This window comes from Homo sapiens, chromosome 21 (genome assembly GCF_000001405.40).
Source record: "Homo sapiens chromosome 21, GRCh38.p14 Primary Assembly".
NCBI classification, from domain to species: domain Eukaryota; kingdom Metazoa; phylum Chordata; class Mammalia; order Primates; family Hominidae; genus Homo; species Homo sapiens.
The window spans coordinates 39,252,744-39,270,811 of record NC_000021.9 but is presented as its reverse complement, the minus strand read 5'-3'; the positions used below and the strand labels follow the sequence as shown (position 1 = coordinate 39,270,811).

At 37.6% G+C, this 18,068-nt stretch overlaps 1 protein-coding gene across 7 annotated transcripts in view; it reads left to right on the top strand.

Annotated features, from left to right (window-relative positions):
* BRWD1 (bromodomain and WD repeat domain containing 1) overlaps positions 1–18,068 on the top strand; it is a 137,037-nt gene that overhangs the window by 50,401 nt on the left and 68,568 nt on the right. For all 7 annotated transcript variants that reach the window (XM_017028373.2, XM_011529611.2, NM_018963.5 and 4 more), the window contains 6 exons: positions 379–529; positions 779–913; positions 5,793–5,921; positions 6,127–6,352; positions 12,140–12,325; positions 14,984–15,167. In XM_017028373.2, the coding sequence (XP_016883862.1) occupies positions 379–529; positions 779–913; positions 5,793–5,921; positions 6,127–6,352; positions 12,140–12,325; positions 14,984–15,167 (1,011 nt within the window). The remainder of the gene's footprint in view (positions 1–378; positions 530–778; positions 914–5,792; positions 5,922–6,126; positions 6,353–12,139; positions 12,326–14,983; positions 15,168–18,068) is intronic.

Genomic DNA, 18,068 nt, shown 5'->3' with positions numbered 1-18,068 from the left:
TGTGTTCCTAAAATTTTTTTGTCTTCTATGGAGAGAAACAGTTGAAAGTAAGTGTTAGCAATAGGTTTGTATTCAGAAGAAGGAAATAATAGGAAAGAAGTAGGGAGAAAAAGCATTGCTTTCATAAGCAGTAATGGTGTCCTAAAATCTGCCCTTATTCAGTCTCTGTACTGTTTCTAAATTATCCCTCCCTTCTTCAGGTTTTGCCCTCACCTGTTTCTAGACAGTCTGTTCTGGGTCAGCTGTGATGAACTCACTGTAGGGTTGATAAGATAGGCACATGGGTTGGATTTCTTTATTTTTGTATTGATGAGAGATTGTATACATTGTATAGCCAGCCATCTAAATAAGTTTACATGTTGTGTATTTTTTTGTTAGGGACTTATCTTCCGAAGAGGAAAGGTTTATGAAACCTAAAGTAACAATGATAGCTTGGAATCAAAATGATAGCATTGTTGTCACAGCTGTGAATGATCATGTCCTCAAAGTGTGGAATTCTTACACTGGACAACTGCTTCATAACTTAATGGTAGGTAATTTCTGGTACAGTGTAACAAATGAGATTTTTTGAAATATGATTGTAATTTTGAAGCTATAAAAATAATATATTGAACAAGTTGTTTCTCTCATGTAAACTATGAAATGATTAGAAATTTTTATAATTATAAATTATTGTCGAATACATTTCTAAAAGTATATGCTGTAACAGTATGTATTTTTAAATTTTCAATTTGTAACTTGTAAACCCTCCTTAATGTTATGACTTTGTTAAATAAAGGGACATGCTGATGAAGTATTTGTTCTGGAGACACATCCCTTTGATTCCAGAATTATGTTATCTGCAGGACATGATGGCAGCATATTTATATGGGATATTACAAAAGGTACCAAGATGAAACATTATTTTAATATGGTAAGTGAAGTGAGATGTACCTTGATACATGCTTGATAATTTGTTTAGAGTATTTGGGTTATGCGGCTTAGCCAGAAATTGATCTGCTTGTTTTGGCAGTTTGTTTTTACAAATCAGCATATTCAAAGCCTGCTAAATATTAGACAGCTACATGTATATACGTACATACATGAAATTCTCTGTATGACTGATTTATATGAGGGAGACATTTTTAAGTTACCTGTTGAGCATTTTATGTGCCTGTGTGTTTAAACTGGTAAAAGTATGGCAATTGTAAAAACTTTTTCACTACTTGAATTTATTGAAATATTCTATAACAAATTGAAATATTTGATAAATAGAAATATAAAAATAGTAATAAAATAAAATGACATTATTAATATTCAATATTAACCAAATATTACAATATTTGATTACTCCAATTTCAGTAACCTTGGGCTGGGTGTGGTGGCTCTGAACTCCTAACACTTTGGGAGGCTGAGACAGGAGGATTGCTTGAGCCCAGGAATTCAAGTCCAGCCTGGGCAATGTAGTGAGACACTCTCTTAAAAAAAAAAATCCCAAGATGGTTGAAATAGAGATCAAACATCATTAGGTTTTCCCGGCCTTTTTTCTTTATGTACAGGTGTATTCTTAAAAAAAAAAAATTTTTTTTTTTGCATATGTATATTCTAGAACCAAATGAGGATCCTACTGTATCTTTTTAGAATTTCTCCACATAATCATAATTATAGTTACTAATCAGCAAATTTAACATTTATAAGATAGCATTGTCTAGTCAGGTCTATAGTAACATCTTTTTAGATATATTTTGCTCCGTAGACCAGAATCCAGTTCAGGCTCATGCGTTGTGTTTAAGTGGTTGTATCTTTCTAGGTTTCTTTTTTTTCTTTTCTTTTTCTTTTCTTTTTGAGACAGAGTCTCGCTCTGTCGCCCAGGCTGGAGTGCAGTGGCGCAATCTCAACTCACTGCAAGCTCCGCCTCCCGGGTTCACGCTATTCTCCTGCCTCAGCCTCCCAAGTAATTGGAACTACAGGCACCCGCCACCAAACCTGGCTAATTTTTTTGTATTTTTTAGTAGAGACGGGGTTTCACCGTGTTAGCCAGGATGGTCTCCATCTCTTGACCTCATGATCCATCTGCCTTGGCCTCCCAAAGTGTTGGGATTACAGGCGTGAGCCACTGTGCCTGGCCTCTATTTTTCTTTAATTGTCACCAGCCCCTCTCAGCCTTTTTTCTTTTTCCTCTTTCTTGGCCTTTAACTTTTGTTGAATATTAGCAAGTATTGTTACAGAGTGTCCTCAGTTTTGTCTGATATTTTTTCATGATTAGATTGTTATAGTTTTTTAAATGAAATAAAACATAAGTGATATTGTGTCCTTCATGAATCATATTAGGAGGCACATGATATTTATTTGTCCCCTTACTATGGTGATAATTTTTTTTTTTTTTTTTTGGAGATGGAGTTTCTCTCTTGTTGCCCAGGCTGGAGTTCAATGGCACAATCTGGGGTCGCTGCGACCTCCGCCTCCTGGGTTCAAGTGATTCTGCTGCCTCAGCCTCCCGAATAGCTGGGATTTACAGGCACCTGCCATCACATCCAGCTAATTTTTTGTATTTTTAGTAGAGATGGGGTTTCACCATCTTGGCCAGGCTGGTCTTGAACTCCTGACTTCAAGTGATCACCCGCCTCGGCCTCCCAATATAATTATTAAACTAATTTTTTTAGTAGCGCTTTTGAGACTAATCTGAATATCCTGTTTCTCATTAAATTTTTACCCACAAGTATTGGATCCATTGAAGATTTTCCAATGGCATTATTCCTTCCATATTTATTAGTTGGTGTCTTTGCACACAGTGGTATTTTTTTTTCCTCCTCCAACTTCTAAGTTCAGGGGCTACCTGCTGTGTGCAGGATGTGCAGGTTGGTTACGTGGGTAAATGTGCTTGCACATAGTTTTGTAATCTTATTTCATGTAAAACCTTTTTTTTTGAAATTTTTATTTTTAAAGAATTTACAGATGTATTTTTGAGTATAAATTCAGCCTGTCTGAGAAGAAAGTTAACTTTTACACAATTAATTTCTATTGTTGAGTACTTAAGTGGTTTCTAAAATACGTATGACAATAACACTTTGAATAGCCTTGTACATGATTATTTCCCTAAGATAAATTCTGAAGGAATTATTGTGTAAAAGGGTTTTAGCACTGTTAAGGCTTTATATGTTTGAGACATTTTGTGAATTTACTCTTCAGTTTATACTGTTACAATTCAAAGTGCAATTTTTTATTGTTTTGTTTGAGACAGAGTCTCTCTCTGTCGCCCAGGCTGGAGTGCAGTGGTGTGGTCTCGGCTCACTGCAAGCTCCGCCTCCCGGGTTCACGCCATTCTCCCGCCTCAGCCTCTCAAGTAGCTGGGATTACACGCGCCTGCCACCACGCCCGGCTAATTTTATTTTTGTGTTTTTAGTAGAGATGGGGTTTCACCATGTTAGCCAGGATGGTCTCGATCTCCTGACCTTGTGATCCGCCCGCCTCGGCCTCCCAAAGTGCTGGGATTACAGGCTTGAGCCACTGTACCTGGCCTGTGTGATGTATTTTAGAGGCAGTGTAGTAGCATCCTATTGATGCTGATGCATTCTTAGACCTTTGATTCTCAGGTTCTTAGACCTTTGATTCTCAGGTTCTTAGACCTTTGATTAAATGCATTCTAAAACATTTTAAATAGTATGATCAAAGTACAAATAGACAATTAGGCATCTCTGAAAGCTGCGTTTCTGTGTATTCAAATTATTGGAAAAAGAACTAAACATTCTTGGACAATTTTTCTGTCGTTTTAAAATCCGTGGGATACATCCATTACCTTAACTATCCTTTCATACTCAGTAATAATATTACATCCTGAATTTAACTCCTCAAAACAAAAAACTACATTAATTTAGGCTTTAAGCAGAATATAAGCGGAAAAACTCTATGCCAAAGAATAATCTGAAAAAACATTTCACGTGGGCAACAATGATCTTATTTCCAGTTGCATAGCCAAAATTGGCCTTGTTTACTGACATTTCCTTACTGCTCAGCTAAGAGGCTCATAATTCCTAATTCTAGATAGACTAAATAGGGTTGTCAGTTATTAATAGCAACAATATTTCATGAATACGTAATAAACTTTAATGTGACATTTTTCTCCAGACACAGTTGCAGGTTGCGTTTTGTCAGGAATCATTGTATAGGACGCTTCCAGTTACAAGTGAAACCCCAAGTCCTCCTTGCTCTGCTTAGATAGGTCTGCCCACTTGAGAAAACTTTCATCTCAGCAAGTATTTATAGAAAAGCTTTTGGTGCTGTTAAGTCCACATGTATGATGGGCAGAGTTGCTGCCACCATCTTCAGCTTTCCAGCTTTGAGATTTTGCCACTCCCTCCCCACTGGCATCTGCTTTAACCATGACTGAAGGTCCCAGGCCAGGGATGCAAAATGGTACATATATGCAGGTTGTGCTGTGGCACAGGTGGCTCCTAGAAGGACCATGTGGGTGAAACCATGTTCTTATGTTTTAATGATCAGTTGGAGGAAAAAAAATATATAATATATATACACACACAATTTTTTTCCTTTTTATGTTAAGAGAATATGAATTAATATGCACATCTTATTCAGCAATCCTCTGAATATCCGAGTAACTTTATTTTTTCCACGTTTGCTAATTGTCATCCTTTTCATGTGCAACAATAGTGAAGTATCACTATTCAAGCAGTGACTTACTTGGGCGTGGACGTGAGTTTGTTCTGGCAGTTACTGAGTAGATGTCTCATTTCTCCAACACCGAACGCGTAACATTTAGTTACTGGAAAGTTAAAGGTGCAGACAACAAATATGCATAGCTCTACACTGTAGAGTTAACCAAATAACTAACTTAACTATAAATTGATGATATTAAACTAATATAGTTTACAGTTTAAAAGGAAGAATAAAACAGTATAAAAGTAATCTATTTAAGGTTACACTCATGATAGACTTAGAGCATCCTTTCTGAAATCTCTGTTAGGGTAGTTGTGGCTGCAGACTTTTTCATATATATGCTTGAGACCCGGCAGCATTGCCAAATTTTGCATGGTGCTTAGTCATCTTAGTAATGAGCTGAAGTAGAGCCCACCTTAAAATCTAGAAAAGTGTTCGTTTTAGTTCATGAATACCAAATTTGGTTAATCTTTAATCATTTATCTTGTAGCTTATTATCCTTTTATTATATACTAAGACAAAAATTTATGAAATTGTTTATAAGAAGTAAAAGAAGCCTTCACTTTGGATTGGGTTGTTAGCCTTCATTGGAGCACTTGGAGAACTAATGCTTAGAAGAACTTTGAAGACTTTTTTCTAGGCTAGTTGTATCCAAAATCAATTTTATTTTTTTGGAATAGTGATTGATGTATATGCTTAATGAAACATTTGTTTTTATTTTTATTTTACAGAGTCTCACTCTGTCACCCAGGCTTGAGTGCAGTGGAGTACAGTGGTGCAGTCTTGGCTCACTGCAACCCCTGCCTCCCCGGTTCAAACGATTCTCGTGTCTCAGCTTCCTGAGTAGCTGGGACTACAGACGCACACTGCCACGCCCGGCTAATTTTTTGTATTTTTAGTAGAGACAGGGTTTCACCATGTTGCCCAGGGTGGTCTTGAACTCCTGTGCTCAGGCAGTCCACCTGCTTCCACCTCATAAAGTGCTAGGATTACAGGTATGAGCCACCATGCCTGGCTGAAACTTTTTTTTTTTTTTTCAGAAGGGATATATTGTCACAGGTTATCCACATTAAAAAAGTTTACATAGCAAATCACTTGCATAGAATTGGTCCTAACTTTTTTCCTTTTGTGTTTCCTAGATTGAAGGACAAGGACATGGAGCTGTGTTTGACTGTAAGTTTTCACAGGATGGACAGCATTTTGCCTGTACAGATTCTCATGGGCACCTTCTGATATTTGGTTTTGGATGCAGCAAACCATATGAAAAGGTCATTTTTAATACTTTGTTGTAGCATGCAAGTAATAGTTATCAGCTGTGTTTTGGAAATAAGTAGTTATGAGCTATGTTTTGGAAACAGTTTAGCTGAGTGATTTGATTTCCTTGTTTTTCTAGTTTTAATTAACTGTTTAATATTTGTTTCCTTTAAAATGTGTGAACCTTAAAATGTCATCCTGTGAACTTCATTTTTCTAGATTCCTGATCAGATGTTCTTCCATACTGACTATCGACCACTTATTAGAGATTCTAATAATTATGTCTTAGATGAGCAAACTCAGCAGGCTCCTCATCTTATGCCTCCACCATTCTTGGTAGATGTAGATGGAAATCCTCATCCAACCAAGTATCAGAGATTAGTACCAGGCCGAGAAAATTCTGCAGATGAACATTTGATTCCACAGCTGGGCTATGTGGCAACAAGTAAGTGCAGTCTTTTTTTTTTTTTTTTTTTAAAGTTGTACTTGAATATTTTAAAGTATAATATAAATAATTTCCTTACCTTTAGATCCCCAATTATTAATATTTTGCAATATTTGTTTTATTATTTTTTTTCTGTGTATTGTTTTGAACCATTTAACTTCTGGACCTCATGTACCATTTACCTCTAAATAAGAACGACATTCTCTTACATAACTATAGACACTTATGACAATTAGGACGTTTTACACTCAGATAATACTATTATCAAATCTATAGTGTGTAACCAAAAATTTCCAGTTATTCTAGTAATGTTCGTTTATAGCTTCTAAAATTCTCCCAATTTTTATTTGGGACCACATACGAAATACGAAAGTTAGTTGTCATAGTTCCTTAATTTCCTGTAATCTGGAGCAGGTTGTCAGTTTTTGACTTTCATGATGTTGATGTATTTGAAGATTACAGGTCAGGAATTTTGTAGAAGGCCTCAATCTGGGTTTGTCTACTTCTTGATTAGGTTCCGGTTATGCATTTTTGACAGAATACAACATAAATGATGTTCTAGTCTTAATAGAGCATACTGTCAGGATGCTTATGATTGTGGTTTGTCTAATTACTGGTAATGTTGTTTTTGAACACTATAAACTTAGTATTTTTCTCTTTGTAATTAATAGTAATTTGTGGGGAGATATGTCAATAACCTGTTCATTGTCAAAGTTTACCCTCAAGTTTTAGGACCCATTGATGAGTTTTGCCTGAATCGGTTGTTACTGTGAATACTCCAAAGTGGTTATTTTCTAACTTCATCATTGTTCTGTCATTGCATCATATGTATCATTGCTCCCTCATTGCGTCATATGTATCATTGCATATGACTGTCTATTGCTCACCCCTTTATTTATTGATGAGGCTTATTAAGTTTTAGTATGGGCTTCTGGGTGTGGCTAATGGGTTGTATTACTCACATAATCCTTAGGTTTGACTCTCAGAGCCTTTTGAAGCTGTCCTTCCCCAAGTCCTTACACTTTTTCAGTCACTTTTTTCCTTTTCTGGATGTAGGATGTTCCAGGTTTGTCTTGTACTTTTCTCTGTCGTAGCCAAGTGCAAAGTTCTTTTTTGTGTTAATAGCAGGGCAGTGTTTCTCTACAGATGTTAAAGAAAAAATGCTATTTTGTTTGTTTGGATGAGGATTTACTGAAACTAAATCACCAGCTATATATAAAGTAAAAACCTAATGTAGATTACTATATGGTTGCTATTTCAAATGTTATTTTTTATTACTTTTATTGAAGTGTACTTTATATACAAAATTCACCAATTTTAAGTGTACAATTCAAGTGTATGTGTGTTTATTTTTTGAGACAGGGTCTTACTCGTTTCCCCAGGCTGGAGTGCAGTGGTGCGATCTTGGCTGACTGCAGGAGGGTCAAGTGATCCTCCTACCTCAGCCTCCTGAGTAGCTGGGACTGTAGGCGTGTGCTAACACACCTGGCTAATTTTTGTATTTTTAGTAGAGATGGGGTTTTGCCATGTTGCCCAGGCTGTCAAGTATGTTTTGACAGATGTTAAATAATAAGTAACTACCACCACAATCAAGATACAAACCATTTATACTGCCCCCAAAAGTCCCCAGGACCTGTTTGGAGTCAGTCCTCTCCTTTCTCCCAGTCCCTTGTAATCAGTGTTACATTTTCTGTCACTTTAATTTTGTCCTTTAAGAGGGTTTTATATACAAAGTGTAATCTTTTTGAGACGGAGTCTTGCTCCGTCGGCAGACTGGAGTGCAGTGGCATGATCTTGGCTCACTGCAACCTCCGCCACCCGGGTTCAAGTGGTTTTCCTGCCTCAGCCTCCTGAGTAGCTGGGACTACAGGTGTGTGCCACCACACCCAGCTAATTTTTGTATTTTTAGGAGAGATGGGGTTTCACCATGTTGGCCAGGATGGTCTCGATCTCTTGACCTCATGATCCGCCTGCCTCGGCCTCCCAAAGTGGTGGGATTACAGGCATGAGGCTCCGCGCTTGGCCACAAAGTGTAATCTTTTGTGTCTGGCTTCTTTGACTTAGTGTGGTGCTTTTGAGATTCATTAGTGTTGTTGCATGTATCAGTAGTTTGTTCCTGTTTATTCACTGGGGCTGATAATACCCCATGGAATAGATGGGTATATTATCATTTGTTTTTGCATTCACTAATGGTTAAAGGCTTGTTTCCAGTTTGGGGCTATCATCCAGATTGAAATATCCAACTGTCACGTGGAATTTGTCATTTCTCTCTTCAGTTTACTCAGTTTTTACTTTATGTATTTTAAAGTTCATTCATTAGGTGCATACACATTTTGAATTGCTTGTCTTCTGGATGAAATAATTCTTTTCTCATGAAATGTTTCTCTGTATCTCTGAAAATATTTTTTGTTTTGAAGAGTCTTATTTCATATTAATATAGCCAATTCAACTTGTTTTGGATTAGGATTGTCATGGTATATCTTTGTCAGTTCTTCCAGCTGATCTGTGTCTTTATATATCTAATCTGATAACTTTTAATTGGGATTTAAGTATTAAGTACTCTATTAAGTGTAGAGTATTTACACTTAAATGTTCATATGGTATGGGTTTGAACATAAGAGTATTCCTATTTGTTTCCTCTATATTCTTTTCATTCTTTGTGCCTTTTTCCTTTTTCTTTTTTTTTTCTTCTTTGGGATTGATGATTTTTTTTTGTGTTCCATATGACCTCCACTAATGTCTTACTAGCAATACCTGTTTATTTGTATGTAATGGTTGCTTTAGGGCAGAAATTGTCAATGTGTGGTTTGCAGACCCATAGGTGTATCTGCAACCTTTCATGGAGTCTGCAAGGTCACAGCCATCTTCATAACAATACTGAGATATTTATTTTTTTACAGTGTTGACATTTGTACTGATGGATCATGGGTGGGTAGAAATAAACTTCTGGCACTGTAGCACAAATCTTGGTTGTGGCACCAAAATAGTAGGAGTTATTATATTCTTTACTGCTCTGCACATGAATACATGTCTTTTTACTATTCTAGGTATTAAAACTGGAAGTGTACGTAAAGCACTTCTGCTGTGTATTCTGGCTCCTGCGAACTTGAACTATTTTCTGTCCTGTGAGAGCTCTGCAAATTTTTGTGCAACTGCTTTTTTATATTTTCCCCTCAGTAGTGGAGTTCTACCCCATGTGCACACATAACAGTATTTAATTAAAAAAATTTTTTTTGAGACAGAGTCTTGCTCTGTTGCCCAGGCTGGAGTTCATTGGTGTGATCTCGGCTTATTGCAACCTTTGCCTCTGGGGTTCAAGCAGTTTCCCTGCCTCAGCTTCCCACGTAGCTGGGAGTACAGGTGTGCACCACCACACCAGGCTAATTTTTGTATTTTTAGTACAGATGAAGTTTCACCATGCTGGCCAGTCTGGTCTCGAACTCCTGACCTCAGGTGATCCGCCCACCTCAGCCTCCCAAAGTGCAGGGATTACAGACAGGCGTGAGCCACCATGCCCGGCCACGTATCAGTATTTAGTCAAATAATTGATGAGACCTCATTACAGATCTTTGGAGCTTTGTGTGCAGTTCACTCTCCTCTGATATTCAGTCCTGCGTATTTTAACATTCTTCTTCCAGCAAACTCTCACCTCTGTCTCCTCAACTCAGTTAGATCTGTGGATGCTGTTTGGGTTCTCTCTTTTGTTCTGTAACCTGGAGACTACCTCCAGACAGTAATCTGGAGCAATCAGAGGGTTTGTCTCCATTGTTCCCCTTCTCTCAGGGATCACAGTTTTGTGCTGCCTGTTGTCCAGTGTCTGAAAGCTTTTGTTTTACATATATTTTTTCCAGTATTGTAGTTGTTTATGGCAGAAGGACACTTCCTGCGGCAGTTAAGTTTTCATGGGTAGAACCCTCCTTCAATATTTCAGTATCGATTGTATTATTCCATAGAGACAGTTAACATTCTGATATTTGAGAAATTAACAGTTAAGTGTTCTGTGCTATGAAAGAAAAGTTAGGCTGAGTGCAGTGGCTCACGCTTGTAATCTTAGCACTTTGGGAGGCTGAGGCAGGCAGGCGGATTGCTTGAGCTCAGGAGTTCAAGACCAGCCTGGGCAATATAGCAAGACTTTGTGTCTACCAAAAAGAAAAAAAAGAAAAGTTATATAGCCTTAGGTTATTTTGGCTTATGCCGATTAGAAATCTTCTTTGCCGTTTTCCCTTTGGTATCATGTTGTAATCTTAGGAATTTTGTGTTATAAGCAATTCTAATTAAAATCTTCTTATCTTTTTAGATTAAGCCTCTATGTACTGCCTTTTCAACTCATTTTTTGAGACTGATAAAATTTTTAAAGACAAAGTTAATATGAGATATAACATTTAGCTCTTTTAAGTTCTTCTTTGGTTTCCATAGCAAAACAAAGACATTATCAGTGATATGCAAGGGAGTCTTACTCAGGTAGCAGGATGGAAATGTCCTCCCTTGCCCATCCCATAATACTATATGAGGTTTTACAGTTTCTCTATCTGTCTTTATGGTGGCAAGTTATATCTTTGCATTCCTTTTGATTATCACCTTATTAATCTCCTTTATTTTTAATTTTATTTATTTATTTTTTTGAGACACAGTTTGACTCTTGTCACCCAGGCTAGAGTGCAGTGGCATAATCTTGGCTCACTGCAACCTTCGCCTCCTGGGTTCAGGCAATTCTCTAGACTCAGCCTCCTGAGTAGCTGTGACTACAGGCGTGCGCCACCAGGCCCGGCTAATTTTTTTTTGTATTTTCAGTAGAGACTGGTCTTGAACTCTTGACCTCAAGTGATCCACCTGCCTTGGCCTCCAAAAGTGCTGGGATTACAGATGTGAGCCACCACGCCCCGGCTGTAATCCCAGCACTTTGGGAGGTCGAGGTGGGTGGATCATGAGGTCAGGAGATTGAGACCATCCTGGCTAACACGGTGAAACCCTGTCTCTACTGAAAAAAAAGAAATACAAAAAATTAGCCGGGCATGGTGGTGGGCACCTGTAGTCCCAGCTAGTCGGGAGGCCGAGGCAGGAGAATGGCCTGAACCCAGGAGGCAGAGCTTGCAGTAAGCCAAGATCACGCCACTGCACTCCAGCCTGGGCAACAAAAGTGAGACTCCGTCTCAGAAAAACTCTGTACTTGAAGTAAGAATTATGGGTAGTAGCTATGTTAAAAACATATCTAAGAGAGTAATTTGAGATTAGTCGGAGAGGCTTGTGTAATTACCACCATCAATTGCACTGTTCTCCGAGGACTCTTGGGGCAGAGGGAGAGCTAAAGTCTTGTTGAAGGCTTAAAAAAGGTCTTACCTCCCTTTTTTCCCCTTTCTTAAGACATAGAGAAGAAATTAAATCTCAGGGATTTTTCTCCACATTGGAAATGACCCATAGTTGCTCTGTTCCAGTTAGAGACTCTGGGGAATAAGATTTTAGTGAAATATATCGAGTATGGTGAGGGGCATTAGTGTGAAACAGCGTAATAAAGTTTTACAGAAATATGTTTCCATGCTTCCACTTGCAGGAATTTCAGAGGCTGCTTTCAGGTTTTTGTGGTATTTAGTCCTCTACAGGAAGACTTTTGTTGGCTTTGAATCTTTTCTCTGACTTCTTGGTGAATATGTAGAGTATCTTTTTAAACTGGTTATTTTTCAAAAATGGGAAATTCTGACCATTGTTAATGTATTTTAATTTGTACCCTAACGAAATTTTTTTTTGTTTTCTGCTTTTATATGATTATATATTAAATAATTGAATTTGTAGGTGATGGAGAGGTGATTGAACAAATTATAAGCCTGCAAACCAATGATAATGATGAACGCAGCCCAGAATCGAGTATTCTTGATGGAATGATAAGACAGTTGCAGCAGCAGCAAGATCAGAGAATGGGAGCAGATCAGGATACTATTCCAAGAGGACTTTCAAATGGTGAAGAAACACCCCGGAGAGGTAATAAATAGTGATAAATGTTTTACCTGAATATGGCTGCATTGAAATTAAAGAGTAAACGAAGTCTTTGTCAGGTACATGTAATGTGAGAAACTTAAGTAAACAATGTATTTTTACAACTTAATTAGTAGTCTGAAGGTAGCTTTATGAGGTGTGAGATAATGTAGTAACAAATGGGTCTTTGAATTTCAAGTACTGCTGAAGCCTTTTGTACTCTAAAAATACAGTATTTACAAAATTGTATTAAATAGGAGCGAATAACAGATTGGTTTTTAAAATAAAACCATAGTTCTAGCTTTTCTTTGCTTTAACATTGGTAATTTTTGAAAAACTGTATTGGGTAGAGTATGATTTTTCTTATTGAATCAGAAAGTTTGAAAACTTAGTGAGTTTTCAGTGTTGAGTCCTTAAAAGTACAGTGTAGAAGTAAATACATAACAATCACCAGTCTCCCCTCAGTTAGTTCCACTATTTACTTTGTTTCTAGTCCAATATGATTAACAAGTTTCATTATTCATTTAAAATAGTACTTTTTTTCTCTTAAACTTACAGCATAAGACTTTGTTTTTTTATTTTGGAAAGAAAGGTTGGAAGAAGGATACAATGAACAGCCATATATTCTTTACCTAGATTCCTTATATTACTATACTTGCTTTTGCTTTTTTTTGTGTATGTGTGCACACACACATTCCTATGTGTTTTTTTTCAGAAGCATTTGAAAGTAAGACTTGTGACACTTTATATCTTAATGCTTCATCCTGTATCATCCAAGAACCAGAGATATTCTCTTACATAACCATAATACAGTGATCACATTCAACAAGCTGAATATGATAATTGTTGATATAGCACTGCTATCTAATTTTGAGTCCTTACTTACTCTTCCCCAGTTGTCCCAATAACTAACTGTCCTTCCTCATGGCCTTTTTTAAAAAAAAAAAATTTAGGATTTAATTAGCCCTGCTCATTACATTTTAGGATTATGTCTTTTAATCCAGAAAAGTTTCCTCAGAGCACTGGTACTTTGGAAAGCTTCAGGCCTGTTGTTTTCACAAGATTTCTCTCAATTTAGATTTGTCTAATTATTTCCTCATAATTGGGTTCAGGTTAAGCATTTAGACAGGAATACTGAATAGTTGATGCTATGTCCTCAGTCTGTCATGGCAAGAGGCACAAGATACATAAACGCATTCTTCTGGCACCTACTGTATTGCCTTAACAATATATTCTAGAAATCGTATCAGTTCACAGAATTCTTCATCCTATTTTTTTTTTTTTTTTTTTAAATAGCTTCATACTACTCCTCTGTGTGGAGTAATTAACCTTTCTAATCTCTTTATGGGCATTTAGGTTGTTTCTTATGCTTTGCTGTTATAAGTGATGTGATAAATAACTTTATGCATGTTTTCAGATTGTTGGAGAATAATGCTATGACTTGGGCAGTTAAATTTAGAATTTATATTTCTCAGTTCAAAAATGTTTCTTCAATATATAGTATTTTAATATAAATGCTTGGTTTACTAGCGGGGCATTTAATGCCATTTGAAGTTGGTGAAGCATAGTGTGTTCTCTAATGCACATTGGTACACATGTGATTGGTAAATAGAGTGTGGTACATAGAAGAGTGCAGAAGTTGCATTCACTCGTGGATTTTTCCCTAGGCAAGAAGAGCTGGCACAGCTGGAGTACAGCTCCATAGCCTCCCACAAGAATCAATATCACCCTCAGTTTTTCTGTTGTGTTAGTAGCAGGAGCCCCTTCACCTTCTGTTGTAAGAAAATGAGCACTTTGTCTAGGACTTCCTCCTCAGAGGCTAGTCTCTCTGTGGCTTCCAGCTCATGGGAGGTTGCGCAGCCTCCTATACCCACCTTAACAGCCTCTGTGGCTTCCAGCTCATGGGAGGTTGCGCAGCCTCCTATACCCACCTTAACAGCAGCCCCTCAGGCTCAGAGCGTCAGTGTTGTCTTCATTGCCTCATCACCCACCTGCCCAGCTTTAGTTTAAGCACGACTGGCATTTACCCACAACATTTTATTTGTTTGACTTTTTAATAACCATCTTGACAGCTACTTGCCTTGGTGGCTCAGATTATCTCTTGAGAATCATGAGAATCATGATTACTGTTGCAAGAGCTCTTGTAAAACCACTTTGATTTCAGGTATCTGTCTTCAGTGCAAATTTTTCAAAAAGACTTTTTTTAGTGTGCAATTTTTAAGAAGGCACAGTTTTTAGGAATGCATATATAATGTAATGTGAAATGTACATTTTATAATTTCAGAAAGTCTAGTAAAAATTGAAATTGAGGTTTAATAGTTAATGTTTGTTCCGTATTCTACATTTTGATCTTAGTCATGTTAAGATTCTGTCAGGCTGGGTGCAGTGGCTCATGCCTATAATCCCAGCACTTTGGGAAGCCGTGGTTAAGAGGATTGCTTGAGGCCAGGCATTTGCGACTAGCCCGGGCAACATAGCAAGACCTTGTCTGTACAGAAAATAAATTTTAAAAAGATTTTTCTCACAAAGTTTTTTCAGTAGATACTATCTTCTCTTAGTTCTTTATTTTTGGTGCGCATCTTAGGTGAACGTGTGCTTGTTACATGCTAAATGTATATTAGTTTAAAAGTGTATTGGAATCACTTCCCCATCATATTTTCCTAGGTTTTAGAAGGCTGAGCTTAGACATTCAGTCCCCTCCAAATATTGGTCTGCGTCGTAGTGGACAAGTTGAAGGTGTTCGTCAGATGCATCAAAACGCTCCACGCAGTCAGATTGCTACAGAACGTGACCTGCAGGCTTGGAAACGAAGAGTGGTTGTACCAGAGGTACCACTAGGCATATTTAGGTTTGTTTTAGGATATCTATTTATAATGTTTCTATCTGTGAAAATATATTTATATGGTTATTTACACATTCTGTATTCCATTAATTGTGTAAATAATTGTATAAATATATTAGTAATGAGTGGGAATCTTACTATCTTAATTGTGGTAGGAAAATGTCAGAATTATTCTCTAATGTTTTTACTACATTAAAGGTTTTCAGAGCCAGTCTTGCTTCTTTTCTTTTTTTTTTTCGAGACGGAGTTTCGCTCTCGTTGCGCAGGCTGGAGTGCGGTGGCATGATCTCGGCTCACTGCAACCTCCACCTCCCGGGATCAAGCGATTCTCCTGCCTCAGCCTCCTGAGTAGCTGGGCTTACAGGCGCCCGCCACCACACCCAGCTAATTTTTTATATTTTTAGTAGAGACAGGGTTTCACCATGTTGGCCAGGCTGGTCTCGAACTCCTGACCTCAGGCGCTCCACCTGCCTCAGCCTCCCAGTGTGCTGGGATTACAGGCATGAGCCACCACGCCCGGCTCCGTCTTTTTTTGTCCATGCACACACACACCCACTTTTGTCCTTTCAGTATTATTTTGAAAGAAATTCTAGATGTAATATTATTTTTGTCCATAAGCGTATAAGTGTGTATTTCTAAAGATAAGAAATTTTAAAATATATAAAATAATGCTGTTATCACACCTTAAAAAAACCGTACCTTGGTTTCTCAGTATAACCAAATATCCAGGCTGTGTTTAAATTTCCAGTTGTTTCAGGTGTCATAAATGTTTTCAGTTTTTTGCAAGACTGCTTCATAAGTGATAATTCTATCAGAAGGCACACATAAATAGCCTCCTCGGTTTTTGTGATGTTAGCAGCTATCAGTGCTTAATGTGTAGATTCATTAATTTATTAGCTGTTGTATAATCATGATTTTTAACTCTATGAAAACTTCTTCATTTATTATCTTGGACACTTCTGAAAAAGAAATCTAAAAAAGAAACCCAAGTATACTTAGTTTTCAAGTAGCAAAGTTTGTGTAGGAAAGGCAGAGTAGATGGCTTGATTATTTTGCTTTATTTCCCCTCAAAATAAAGATTTATTCCTTTTCATTATTCAACAGCGACCAATTTGTATGTGTGTGTGTTTTAATGTATAAATCAAATAGCTGGGGTTTAACTTATTTCTGATATTCTTTATTGATGTTTAAATCATCTCTTTTCTAGCCATGAGGAGCCTCTTTTCTAAGGCTCCCTGTCCTTTCAAAATGACTAGTAGTTTTCCATAGCATCCTTACTATGAGACAGGGGAAGATATTATAGTTCATCTTGTAAATTTTTGACCTATATCTGAAATTAAGCAGCCCTATTTTCTTTTAGTAAGAAATGTTATTTCTTTTATTTTTTTGAGACAGAGTTTTGCTCTCGTCCAGGCTGGAGTGCAATGGCACGATCTTGGCTCACTGCAACCTCTGCCTCCGGGTTCAAGTGATTCTCCTGCCTCAGCCTCCCGAGTAGCTGGGACTACAGGCATGCGCCACCACGCCTGGCTAATTTTGTATTTTTAGTAGAGACGGGGTTTCTCCATGTTGGTCAGGCTTGTCTTGAACTCCCGACCTCAGGTGATCTGCCTGCCTCGGCCTCCCAAAGTGCTGGGATTACAGGTGTGAGCCACTACGCCCAGCCTAAGAAATGATATTTTATATTGCTTCTTGGCCTTTTGGCTAAGATCAAGTGTAGAAATGATATTTTGTAATTATAATATGGGCAGTAGTGTCCTTGGTGCTGAGTTGTAATGTACTGATTTGAGTTATTGAAATGGAAACAGGAAATACTTTTTAGAATGATATCTAAAATGTTTCAGTATTTTCTCATGTTTGTATGTCATAATAACTTAATAGCTTGAAGATAATTTTGTAAATTTATCTTTGTGTTTTTATATGTTTAACCAGAAGAGTTTCAGTGAATGCTGGAGTGTTATTAGATAGTACTTATATATTGTTCTGTGAATTTGGGAAGGACTAGAAAATAGTGAAAAGCAAAATGTGGAATTGTGATGAGAAATACAGAAAATCAATATGTATATAGTATGCTGTAATTAAGTTTTAAATTGGCGTCTAAGTCTTATGGTCATCAGAACCAAAAGTGTCATTTTGGGATGCTTTTTCAAAACCAAGGGAAGCAAACAGGTGTCAAGAGAGAAAGACCTGAAAAATTAGTTTCTTAAAACACAAGCATTTATTTTCTTATCCGAAGGAAGACTAGAAATAATCTAAGGCTGGAATAGTGGTTCCACAGTTAATCAGGAACTTAGACTCCTGTGTTTCTCATCCCCATCGTGGAGCTTGGCTTCTAGTCCTTTTTTTTTTTTTTTTTTTTTTTTTGAGACAGTTTCGCTTTTGTCACCCAGGCTGGAGTGCAGTGGCATGATCTCAGCTCACTGCAGCCTCTCCTCCTGGGCTCAAGCGATTCTCTTGCCTCAGCCTCCAGAGTAGCTGGGATTACAGTCATGGGTCACCACACCCGGCTAATTTTGTATTTTCAGTAGAGATGGGGTTTCACCATGTTGGCCAGGCTGGTCTCAAACTCCTGTCCTCAGGTGATCCACCTGCCTCGGCCTGCCAAAGTGCTGGGATTACAGGCGTGAGCCACCGCATCCAGCCTTGGCTTCTAGTCTTAAGGTCACCGCATAGTCCAAGATAGCTGCTGAAGCTGTAGCTATTACATATCTGTATTTGTGATGTAGGTTGAAATTTAGAAGAAAAGAAGAAAGATGTTCAGATGTCAAAAAGGGCATTTCTAGTCAAAGGAACTTACTTTAAGTAGCCATGTGGCATTTCTGCTTATAACTCATTGACCAGAATGTTGTCATTTGACCATAATAAGCTAAGGAGGAGAGTAGGTAACACAGTATCTATTTAGAGCAG